The sequence below is a fragment of the Homo sapiens genome, chromosome 2, assembly GCF_000001405.40.
Source record: "Homo sapiens chromosome 2, GRCh38.p14 Primary Assembly".
Lineage (NCBI taxonomy): Eukaryota > Metazoa > Chordata > Mammalia > Primates > Hominidae > Homo > Homo sapiens.
This window is the reverse complement of record NC_000002.12, coordinates 229,533,463-229,546,802: the sequence shown is the minus strand read 5'-3', so window position 1 is coordinate 229,546,802 and position 13,340 is coordinate 229,533,463. Positions and strand designations below refer to the sequence as shown.

The 13,340-nt window shown below is 41.9% G+C and overlaps 1 protein-coding gene across 1 annotated transcript in view; it reads left to right on the top strand.

Annotated features, from left to right (window-relative positions):
- Positions 1–13,340, top strand: part of DNER (delta/notch like EGF repeat containing) — a 356,927-nt gene that overhangs the window by 167,753 nt on the left and 175,834 nt on the right. The window lies entirely within an intron of this gene.

Here is a 13,340-nt window from a genome sequence, read left to right as displayed (position 1 = left end):
ATCTATCTATCTATCTGTCTATCTGTCTGTCTCAAGCCAAGTTGATATATACATTCTTTTTGTTTTTGAGATGGGGTCTCGCTCTGTTGCCCAGGCTGGAGTGCAGTGGTGTGATCTCGGCTTACCGCAACCTCTGGCTCCTGGGTTCAAGTGATTCTCCTGTTTCAGCCTCCTGAGTAGCTGGGACCACAGGCACACACCACCATGCCCTGCTAATTTTTGTATTTTTAGTAGAGATGGGGTTTTGCCATGTTGGCCAGGCTGGTCTGGAACTCCTGGCCTCCAGCCATCCCCCCGCCTTGGCCTCCCACAGTGCTGAGATTACAGGCATGAGCCACTGTGCCCAGCCTGATAGATAAAATTTAACTATTAGAAGATTCTCTCTATTTTCTAATTCCTTGTTGCCCCGTTTCAGCCCAATTAAATTCCTTGCTCATAAACTTAACGGAGTAGTTTTAAAACTGAATGGTGGTTGGACATAGGACATGAGTATTTAGAGACATCAGGACTGAAGATTTCAGTTTGGGACTCATCTGAATATGAATGGAATTAAAACCACTGGGATGGGGAAAGTGCACTGTATACATTAGCAAGAGTGGAAGGGAAGAAAACAGGTGCATTTGCTAAAGAGGTCCTCAGAATGTACAGCTTCAATTATATGCCAGTATGCAACATATAGATATTTAAATCTCCATATGATTTTCAAAGTAATTGTAATGCATTTGTGTAGTGATAGATCCTCTTGCTTTGGTATAAAGTAGAGATTTTGTGAGAAGTAGTGGTCATTATATCCAGTAGTACAATCAAGAGAAATGGAAGAAACAAAAGGTAAACACAGTCATTCACTTACCCGTTTTGGGGACTGTTGTGTGCCAATGTGGTAATTTCCTCCTTAGTCTTCGCATTTCCCTGGCTATGATAATAGAGTTACAGACGTCAGAGAAAAGTAAGAGAAGAAACCGAGAAGAGGCATGGATGAGATGACACATTAACTTTGCTCTTTGTGGAGCCGGCATCAGAAACACTATGGGAACCCTGAGCCCTGTTCCACTTTTTCTTCAGCAGATGTGGCCAGGGCATGGGGGCAAGGCCCGAGTACAGCTTCCTCCTCTGCCTCCTGTTTTCTGTTTCCAGGCAGCAGTTTGGGAGTCAGATGAACAAAGGACCACAGCAGTCACTGAGGTCAAAGTTCATCAGTATAGAACTCTCTTAAAATATATATATTTTTTGAGATGGAGTCTTGCTGTGTCACCCAGGCTGGAGTGCAGTGGCGCGATCTCGGCTCACTGCAACCTCACCTTCTGGGTTCAAGCGTTTCTCCTGCCTCAGCCTCCCAAGTAGCTGGGATTACAGGCATGTGCCGCTGTGTCCAGCTAATTTTTGTATTTTTAGTAGAGACGGGGTTTCACCATGTTGGCCAGGCTGGTCTCAAACTCCTGACCTCAAGTGATCTCCCTGCCTCAGCCTCCCAAAGTGTTGGGATTACAGGTGTGAGCCACTGCACCTGGCCTAGAGCTTCCTTAAAATATTTTGCAGGTGGATCCAGGGTCCACCTGAAGATCTCTAACAAGGAAGACTTCATACCTTACAAGGGGGGCCTGTTCCATTAGGGGACATCTATTCCCCTCACCACTCACTACATCCATCTCCAGCACCTTTTCTTTATTTTTGTCTCTAGTTATACACATATTTCTATTGGAGTTAATGTTCAGTGACAGTGGATTCCCAAACCCCAAAAGAGCATGGTTTGTTTGAGATTTTGAGGGTAGCACAGGTAGGTTTTCTTTGGTGATGCCTTCTTGTGAGAACGTCAGCACATTGGGTACTAGTGGACTTTGATAAGTGTGAGGAGGGGGACTAACAGAAGGAATATTGGCAGAAGCTTTCAAGTACTGTTCTTGTCATCTTAGAAAACCTGTGACTTTCCTGTTAGCTGTAATATTGCAGCTGCTTAAATATAGCATTTTCCGGCCAGGTGCAGTGGCTCACGCCTGTAATCCCAGCACTTTGGGAGGCTGAAGCTGGCGGATCACCTGAGGTCAGTAGTTCGAGACCAGCCTGGCCAACATGGTGAAACCCTGTCTCTACTAAAAATACAAAAAATTAGCCAGGCGTGGTGGTGGGCACCTGTAATCCCAGCTACTCGGGAGGCTGAGGCAGGAGAAATGCTTGAATCCAGAAGGCGGAGGTTGCAGTGAGCCAAGATTGTGCCATTGGCCTCCAGCCTGGGCAACAAGAGCTGAACTCTATCTCAAAAAATAAATAAATAAAATATATAAATATATTTAATAAAAATTAATAAATAGATATATAACATTTTTCTGTAGGATATTCCTTGGAGGAGGCAGAATGTGGTCAGGAACCCGAAAGCATAGTGAAAGTAATCATTTCTGCTAAATCTTTGAAAAAGAACACAAATGGAAACTGAAGCCCAAACTCTCCCTGCTTCTGGGAGTGAGGTGAGCCACTAGAGTGAGGCCAGGAGGTGCAGAGCCAGGAGGCTCCTTCCAGGAGGCCAAGCCTGCCCTTTACATCCTGTGCCCTCCTGTCTATGCCACTTTGGACCAGTCTGCTCTTCTTCCCGAGGAGAAACCTCATGTATCAACATACTTTATGGGAAAAAAATGTGAAGGACACTCAGTGTTCTTCTATGAGAGTCATGGCTAGGGAGGGGTAAAATAACTGGAGAAAAGAAGAGGAGGCTAAGGAGAACATATTTTTTTTCTTTTTTAATTTTAATTCAATTTTTAGAATTAAGTATAGGAAAATGTGAGGTTTGAGGGTAAGGGCAAGTGGGGTGGCGTGTGTGTATAGTTGTGAATTTTCTGATTAGAGATGATGGTCGATGCTGCTATGGAGATGAGACTAATAGGAGGAATTTTATAGAGAAGCAAAAGGGGCAAGAATTGGAAAGATGCATAGTTAGGTAACGGAAGAAAGAGCAGGCATCAATACTCAGTTTTGTCATAGTTAACTCTTCAGTCAGCTCACATTTCAATATAATTTCTTTTTCATATGCAGGACTTGTCTATGGGAGAACGTATTTGATAAGGAGGTGCCAGAAGAGAGGAAGGGTGAGAGACTAAGAAAAGCCACTGGCAGGGGGTGGAGGAGGGGCAGGCCTTCCTGCCTTCTGAGTGAGCCTTCGGGGAGGAGGAGGAGACACACAGATCTTCCCCCAGGCCTTCTCAGGCTTCCCAGTGAATAATTTTGAGGTCTGATTAGCTCTGAAAAAGTTAATATTGGCACGAGAGAAATGTCCTGTAAGAGGAACCAGAATTTTTGATTGATAAAGTGGTGAGATTCATTGTGAGCTTTCTTTTATTACGGGTGGCCCTTCTGGAGAAACGTTGATTCCGTAAGGCGGTCGTCATGTTACTTTAATGTATGTGTGTTGTGGGCTTCTCTGCAGGTAAGCTCTAGCTAGAAGGCTCTGCCTGGAAGCTTCAAATGGACTCATTGAAAAGGCAATAGAGGTAGGTGTTTAGCACCGGGCAGGTAACTTGGCCAGCCTTGTCAAATGTGAAAAAAAGCGAATCAAAAGCCGTGGTGAAGAATCCAAATCAGTTTTAGCAGATCCTTTCAGAGGCAGCGCATCTCCATCAGGGGTAGCAGCTTCTTCTTGTTCTTCTTCTTCTTTTTTTTTTAATACTTTAAGTTTTAGGGTACATGTGCACAACGTGCAGGTTTTTGAAGAGCTTCTGGTGCCTCTGAGCTAACACCTCCTCCTTCCGTGTTGCCTCCCAGTTCCACCTCAGGTGTTTCTAGTAGAGCCTCGGCTGTCATTGATTCTGTATTGCCCTTCAGTGAATTTAAGGAAACTGTGGCAATAATCTTATCTGAGCCATTATTATTACCCCTCAGTGACTCTAAGCAAATGATTAGGCTGGAATGACCACGTCCATTTCATTCTAAGACGCACCACCTTGGCGCACACTGTTAAGTTGGAGAGAAATGTCTGGGGGGACTTGAACTCCCTAAGGCAGGAACAGAGGGAATGGAAAATCTTTTTTTTTTTTTTTTTTTTGCCTACTTGGGTTCCTGTGACTTTTTATGATTGTTGCAATGGCTGTTTCAGTGTCTTAGAAGTAGCTTTCTAGCAATGAAAGACTGTTGTCATCACGTTTTTTTCTTTTTACTGTTTCCTAAAATTAGAAGTTATATAGTCCAACCTTCCACCCAATGTAAGAATCCACTCCATAGCACAAAACAAATAGAACTGTATTTTGTGATTTAATTTTATTGTTTCTCATCATTTTTATGTCTTTTTATTAGATCATCCATCAAAATAAAAGCAATTCTGTTATTTCCACCCCGCTTTCATTTGGTAATGGAACTCATTTCTTTTCTGTCAGAGGCACTTGGGCGAGGGCGTATTTCACAATCCCGAGCTGATGGGTGGTTTGTGATAAAGCTCAAGCTTGCTGTTCTTGATATTGCAGTATTTGGGGGAAGGTCTTTATAAATGTTTACTTCAACATCGCAAGGAGCTCTCTGTTCTTGAAAACTGCTTTCGTGTTACCAAGGGTTGATTCTGATCTTTCCTTCTGCTTAAAAAAAGCTTTAGATCTCTCTCTGAACTTGTTCATCAAGGTTGTTAGGCTACCAGCTGCGGCCTATTGGTGATTGACTCCTTAATTACCTCACAGGTGAGTGTCAGGGCATCAGCACGGGGCTCTTGGTTGGTTTAGGCCTTAATTCTTCTTTAGATCCAAATTAGATTCCATGGACTATGTCTCTCTAGGTCAAGAAATTTGTATTTGGAGGAACAGGAACATTGGATGGCGATTATATATATTATATATTAATTATATAATATAGATTGTATATAATTAATATATAAATATAAATATAAAGTATATATAAATATAAATATAATTTATAAATATAAATATAAATATAATTTATATATACATATAAATAAATATAAATATAAATTATATATAATCACATATATATATATGATTTGTTTTAAGGAACTGGCTCATGCAATTGTGGAGTCTTGGCAAGTGCAATATCTAATGGGGGAGGCCTATAGACTGGAGACTCAGGAAAGAGTTGCAGTTTGAGTCCAAAAGCTGTCTGCATGCAGAATCCCATCTTGCATAGTGGAGGTCAGGCTTTTGTTCTCTTTGGGTCTTTAACTGATTGGATGAGGCCACTCACATTATGAAGGGCAATCTGCTTATCTGCTTTTCTTAGCCCATTTATGCTGGAGGATACAATTTTTTTGAATTTTTGTATGAGTGAATAATCAGACCTTGGCAATGACCTTGAGCAGTAGGATATAAATAACTCCCACAGGCTTAGCGTTCCAATAATGGAACACTAGATATATTAAACTTACTGATTTCAGTGTAAACCTCATCCAAAAACACCTTCACAGAAACATCCAGAATGATGTTTGACCAAATATCTGGGCACTGTGGCACAGCCAAGTTGATACATAAAATTAACCACCACAAGATTCTCTTCTTCTTCTAATTCCCTATTGCCCCCTTTCTACCCAGTTGAATCCCTTTCCCCCAACGTTAGGTTTTCCCCTGGCAAAAAGTCATATTCCAGGTCCTTTGCTCAGCTGTGGATGCCTTTTATTGGGCAGCAGGGTGATTCTGATGCCAGAGCAGATTGTGGACAACAATTCTGAAAACAGAGGCCTCAGAAAAATGCTTCTCATCTCCCCCTTCCTGCTGACTCCCTAAAGGATAGGCACAACATCTTTTCATCCAAGGATTATGTTGTTAATCATTTCAAGTCCACATGGAGTTAGTAATAAAGATAAATGCTAGGCAGTGATATAATGGTTCAATAACAATCCCATAGTTTTCCTGTTGATTGGCTCTGGCCTATGTTGATAGGTAAATGGGATCAGGCCTCCACTCTGAGAAGACTCCCTAGAAACCTCACTGTCTCTTGCCTTAGGAACCCACCATCCTTAATCTATTAGGATCGGATACCAGAGCTGACTACTGAGACGTTGTTTTGAGAGACAATTGAGCTGGCATCATTTTCAAACCTTCTAGAGCCCAGGGGTGGGCCTATCTCTGAGAGAAGCTCTTGCATTTCTGGCCCCTGACGAGTCCTGACTTCTGTGACATCTCTTCCTACCTTTGGAATTTGAAGGCTCAAGCTCTGGGAAGTCCTACTCTTCCTACCTACAACTGAGTTCTTTCAGTTGGGTTTGGTTTATTGGAAATGATCAATGACTCGAACCAGTTACTTTGTCCATTGCTTGATAATACCCACTGTCCTTGTTCTATAGCCCATGTGGCCAAGTTGGGAGACACTGTCCTTTCAGGTCCATGTCTGCCTCATATCTATTTTCTCCTGTTCCGAAACCATGTGCCTCCTTTTTAGGGCTCCCTGTAAATTATCATTTCTTGGGCTTGTCTATTTCCAGGTTCACTCACTGAGTGACACACACACCATAGCTGATGTATGAGCAGCTACTTCAGTGTCTGACCCCAGCCCCTCTCACAACCCCTGCACCCCCAGTTCCACCCTCAAATCTCTGTGGTTTTGCTCATGCTGTTCCCCATCTGGAATGCTTATTGCCTCACTGGCCCTGCTCCCCCTGAGTCTCTACCACTTACCCTTCCACCTCCCCAACTATTTTTCAGGCTCAGCTCAAAATCTTCCTGCTTCTAGAAGCTGTCCCTAATCTCCAATGGGAAGTAGGTCCCTCCTCTGAAGTACTGTAGAATTTTCCTTCTGTTGTGGGAACACATGACTTTTGATTTATGCTTATATGTCTTTATATTCATTATTTTTTGCATTCCCTTCATTGCAACGTTATTGAGCACCTGCTGTGTGTCTGGTACCCTCTAGGCTCTGGAGGATACATACTGGTCTAGCAAGACATAGCCTCTGAGAAGCAGTTACAAGGCCGCAGGGACAGGGTGCTGGATGAGTAACTCATAGATTAGAGAGCAGTGTGTTGTGTGCTGTGGGAGAGGTTTGCAAGTACATTTCTGAGAGCCCAGAGAAATGTCTGACTCAGATGTGAGATCATGGAGAACCTCCTTTGGAATCTCGGAAGGTGAGCTCTTCGACATTAGTGACTGTGCCTGGTTCATTCAGTAACTGTCGTAACAACTAGCATGGTGCTTTCCAAATGGGATGCTCAGGAACTGTCTATCAACGGGACGAGAAAAACAAATAAAAGAACGGAAATAAGATAGGAATCCAGTTGTCTGAGTTTTGAGTTAGATCTGTACTTTAAGTTCGATACTTGCTAAATATGGGAGCATGGAAAGTAAACGGTGAATTTAGTTTTACAAAATAGTGAGAAAATATTCTCTGATCTAAGGCCATCTCACAGATTGTGTGACCCAGAAAGTTGTAGTAACCCTTTGGGAATATTTTAAGCAGCATTGCCAGTTCTTCCTTATCATTTCAAAAAGAAGTAGGTCAGGAAAATTTGAACCCATGGATCTTTGATGCTCTCCTCTGTTGGTTTGAAAGCATCAGTGAACTCCCCTTCAGATTCGGAAGTGGGAATGTACAGAAGTGCAAGAGAAGATGTCATCTTCACTCACCCATCACTTCCCTGAGAACTCATTCCTCTACATCATTAATGCAACACAAAGGTCCTCATGAGACATTGAAAAGGCACTGTGACCTGGTTGGCTTATAAGAAAGGAATAGGATGGGAGAGGAGTCGAGGGAGCCCACAAAGAATCAAAGGAAAGACCTTTCCTGCATCCTTTTCAGCACCAAAACTGCAGCTTTCAAGGAGGACATCAGAACATACAGTTACTTTGTAATCGTTCTGTTCAGTGTGTGGTGAGCTTAGGTGCCCAGAGCTCTGCCAGCACTCTGGAGGAATTTCTCCTTTCACTAGGGAAGAAAGCAGTGAGAGGGGGTGCAGAGTGGGATAGTGGATGGGAAATACTTGATAAACCAGTGGCAAGTGTTATTACAGATAAAAGAGGCTAATTTATTATAAGAAATTATTTTTCTTGGGCCGGGCACGGGGGCTCACGCCTGTAATCCCAGCACTTTTGGAGGCTGAGGCGGGTGGATCACCTGAGGTGGGGAGTTTGAGACCAGCCTGACCAACATGGAGAAACCCCATCTCTACTAAAAATACAAAATTACCACAAAAAATGATACCTATGTGACATAATGCTTATGTTAGTCTGATTTATTCATTCCACAGTATATACTTAAAATTTGTTCTTAGCAATTTTCAAGTATACATCATCATTAACTACAGTCACCAGGTGGTACATTAAATCTCTTGAACTTAAAAAAAAACAAAAAACAAAATTAGCCGGGCAGGGTGATGCATGCCTATAATCCCAGCTACTCAGGAGGCTGAGGCAGGATAATTGCTTGAACCTAGGAGGCGGAGGGTTTGGTGAGCCGAGATTGCACCATTGCACTCCAGCCTGGGCAACAAGAACAAAACTCTGTGTCAAAAAATATATATACATTTTTCTAAGAGATGAGGGAAACCCTTTCTTTTGACTAAATAGCTTTATGACAGTGTTCGTTAAACATTTTTGAGTCAGAGAGTGATGCTCCAGACTTAATGCTAACGTGAAGATGTCTGAGATATGTTTATTTGCTAATAGCAGGGTGATCTCTTCCACAGATTTTACTTGCAGAAACTGCTTTGTGGACCTCTGAGAGAGAAAGTGCTTTTATGAGTAATAAAAGTACAATAATAATTATTAGAAACACATTAACCATAGAGATCATAAAAGTAAGTGCAGCCCAGCTGTTGCTTTTTTTTAACGAGTAAAGAATAAGCCTGTCTAGATTTTCATTGGCTTGTGTTTGAATTATAATTCTTGGTACTAATGTAATTAAAAAGACATTGCTGCATTTTACGTTACAGAACAGAAGGATGATTGTATCATCGCCTGCACAGAAAATGCAATCACATATTTGAATCATTTATTATAAATTAAAAAATAATTCTGCTAGATGACGAGTTAGTGGGTGCAGCCCACCAGCCTGTCACATGTATACATATGTAACTAACCTGCACATTGTGCACATGTACCCTAAAACTTAAAGTATAATAATAATAATAATAAAAAAGAAAAAAAGAAAAATAAAATGACCTCCCAAAGGATAGACATCTTGTCATGTTTCTATTTCAGAAGGTTGAAATGTATGTCCCATGCGGACAGTTATAGAAGCATTGGGGAATGTTGGTGGCATGTTAAATATATTAGGGCAAGGATTGTATCATGGGTGACATTTTCAGGGTCAGAGAATTTAGAGTAGAAGGGGATTTTAGAGGTCTCTCCACCTATTTTATTTTAAACACCAGGAAATCAAGGTCTAAGAGATATTTAAGCCGTTTATCCAAGGCCCAAGAGCTAATATATAGTAAAGGTAGGACAAGAATGAAGTGAGATTTCTGGACTTTTCTCTGGGGTTCCTACTGCTGAGCAACACTGCCTCTAATGCCTTCCACCCCCAGCAGTGTCCTCTAGGAGGATATTCAGGATTATAGCAGCCTTTGTAGCCCATTCAGTGTCCTTATGCAAAGTTTTAATGTTCACTACGAGAAAAAACAGGCAGCAGGTAGAAATACATTTTTGGGTTTTTTTTGGCGGGGTCGGGGGTTGACCTTATGGCATTTTGGTGCAGCATTCTCAAACCTTAATGTGCACGTGAATCATATGAGGATCTTGTTAAATGCAGAATGTGGCCAGAGGGTCTGGGATGGCCCCGAGATGCTACGCAAGCAATGCCTACGCTGCCAGCCTGGGGACCACGGACCTTACACCAACGCACTAAAGGCAGGGGTCTCATGACCTTTCAGAGAGACTTAGAAGATTCAGCCCCTCTCTTCCATGGTCTTATTTGGCATGTGTTGTATTGGGGCACAAAACTCCCTGGGTTTCTCTGTCTCCAGAGCAAAGTTTGAGAAAATGAGGGTACAGGTGAAATCAGTAATTTGGGGAAAGAGAATTCCCATGGGTGTGGCCTGCAGCCTTCATACGCCTCCAGGAACTGTGTGTGGCCCGATTTCACACTTCATTTGCTACAGATTTTAAGTCTTTACAAAGAGGAGAGATACTCATGTCATAACTGTATGGGAGACATAACTATTGTTCTTAGATTTTAATCCATAATGTTTAACATATAGAAATAGGCCTCTGGCTGGATTTTTATGCCCAAGAGCAGAAAATGATCGCTTTGGAGCTTGGTGGGTCAGCTTTCCTTGTTCTTCCTCCCCCTGGAATGCTTATACCTTTGTCCTATTTTTCAGTTCATAAGTCAGTGTGTATGTGAGAGCCACTGGAAATAAATGGCTGTGCCTGGGGTGGGCACCCATATGGGGCTGCTGCTTCATTGCCCCTCTTTAGGGACCTGAAAACCATCTGCTTGCTCCCAAAGAGGGATCTCTTCCACTTATCACCTTGGAGGATTCATTCATTTTCATTCTCTCATCCAGTGTTTCGTGAGCATCTCTTCTCTGTGAGGCACAAACTAAGCCCCAACCAAACCAGGGTGAGGACACGGATGCGTCCCTGCTGCCCTGATGTTTCATGTCAGAAAACTGTCATTGGAAGCCACTGACCTCCCTGCTTATCTGAGGCCTAAATCTCCTGTAAACCATTTCCAACCTCCTCAGCCTTCCTCAGCCTCTAACTATGTAACTAGCCAATGACCATCAGATGCAAGTTGGTACTTCTTTCAGATTTTGAGGGAAAAACTTTTAGCATTTCCCCACCATGGTGTTCGGTCCTCTGCACCCACTCCAAATATGACTTTAAATTATAAGGAGACTCATCTGTTTCCCTGAAGTCTGATGAGATTAGACCTTTAGTTTGTCTCATGGTAATTGCTCCATTCCTTCTTTGAACTCATCTTAGATTTTAAAAATCAGTCTGGGCCAGGCGTGGTGGCTCACGCCTGTAATCCCAGCACTTTGGGAGGCTGAGGCGGATGGATCACCTGAGGTCAGGAGTTTGAGAACAGCCTGGCCAACATGGTGAAACCCCGTCTCAACTAAAAATACAACAATTAGCTGGATATGGTGGTGCACACCTGTAATCCCAGCTACTAGGGAGGCTGAGGCAGGAGAGTCGCTGGAACCCGGGAGGCGAAGTTTACAGTGAGCCGAGATCATGCCACTGTACTCCAGCCTTGGCAACAGAGTGAGACTCTGTCTCAGAAAAAAAAAAATCAGTCTGGCTTTACAACATCTCCTTCCAAGCTGTGGGGTGTCAAGTGGCTTCTGAGTGACCAGTTACATGTGTCCAAGGTTGCTGCTATTAGAGGATAGTATAGTAGCACTTTTTCGAAGCACCAGTGGACTCTGGGCATTGGCAACTAATGAGTCTTAATGGCAGGCAGGGTTGGATTTGGAGGCTTTCTCCAAGGTATTAGTTGAGATCTACTGGCCCTCTGGACAAACATTACCGCCCTCACTGGACTTCCATAGTGCTTTTGTTTTCAGAACTTGACCCATTTTCTGCCTATTGAGTTATAGACTCGAAGATTTGTCTACTGGGTACTGTTAGTCGTTTTATTTACAAAACTGTTTGGCTTCACCTAGCCTTGTGGTTTTCAGACATTTTGGTCTCAAGATCCCTTACATTCTTAGAAATGATTGAGGACCCCAAAGAGCTTTTGTCGATTGGGTTATATCTATTGATATTTAATGCATTAAATTAAAACTGAGGAATTAAAAAATACAGCCAGGCGTGGTGGCTCATGCCTGTAATCTCAGCACTTTGGGAGGCCGACGCAGGCCGATCACCTGAGGTCAGGAGTTCAAGACTGGCCTGGCCAACATGGTGAAACCCCGTCTCTACTAAAAATACAGAAATTAGCTGGGCATGGTGGTGGGTGCCTATAATCCCAGCTACTTGGGAGGCTGAGTCAGGAGAATTGCTTGAACACAGGTGGCAGAGGTTGCAGTGAGTTGAGATCGTGCCAGGGTACTCCAGCCTGGGCAACAGAGTAAGACTCCATCTCAAAATAAAAAAAAAGAATTAAAAAATATAAATTCATCTTATTAGTAAACCCAATAAACTCATCACCTGTTAACATAATAATACCTTTTAAATGAACAATAATTATAGTTCTAAAACAAAACAATATAGAAGACTGGCATTGTTTTCAGTTTTACAAATTTCTTTAATGTCTGTTTTAAAAGAAGACAGCTGGATTTTTACATTTGCTTTTGTATTCAATCTGTTGCAGTATGTTGTTTTGGTTGAAGTCTAAGAAGAAAATACAGCCTCAATAGATACTTAGTTGGAAATGGGATACATGTTTTAATAGCCTTTCAGATATTTGTGTATATTCTAGAAAATACTCCAAAATTTGACATGTGAAAGATTCTTAAAGGTTAATTCAATGTGGACTCTGAAGCCATGTCAAACGCTTTCAGTCTGTTTCATTACAATCTATTGGTCTGTTTCATTACAATCTATTGGTCTGTTACATTACAATCTATTGGTCTGTTACCATTACAATCTATTGGTCTGTTACATTACAATCTATTGGTCTGTTACCATTACAATCTATTGGTCTATTTTATTACAATCTATTGGCCTGTTTCATTACAATCTATTGGTCTCTATATCATCACAATCTATTGGTCTGTTACATTACAATCTATTGGTCTGTTACGTTACAATCTATTGGTCTGTTTCATTACAATCTATTGGTCTGTTTCATTACAATCTCTTGGCCTGTTTCATTACAATCTATTGGTCTGTTCCATTACCATCTATTACGATCTATAATGTCTGTCTTGTGTTTTGGATCTTTTGCCCATGAATGGGTTTGGTAACATCACACATCAGTCCTTTGGAAAACATTGGATCACTGAGTTATACAGAGCTTCCAAATGTTGATGCATTTCATTTTACAATATCAAAAAAGTCACTTCTGGTCATCAGAAAAGTCTTTAAGTATTGGGAATCTGTCAAGCTTGTATAAAAGTTTTCCAAAATTCTAATTTGCTCTTGAAAGCTCAGATTTTATCTCCGATAACAAAAACTCTTGCTTATTTTGCTTGAAGTGACAGGCTCACTTTGTTCATTTGAGAGAAAATATCTGCCAAATAGCCATGTCTGAATAACCACAGTTTGTCTTTTGGTCATTTTTTTTGAGGAGAAAGGGTGTTCCATGAAAAATGGACGACCTCAGGTCACGGTGAACGATGGCCCAAGTGCACTTCCTTGAGGGAGCCGTAGTGCTTCCCGTGTGGAGCAGAAGGGCCTGGTACGCACATTCCATTGTCAGACAATGTTGGAAAGATGTGCACTCCAGGGTTGAGGGTTCATTCATCAAATTTTAATTTTTACTGCCGCATCAAGGACATTCGAGGTGAAATTGACATTTTTTTCCCCTCTGCA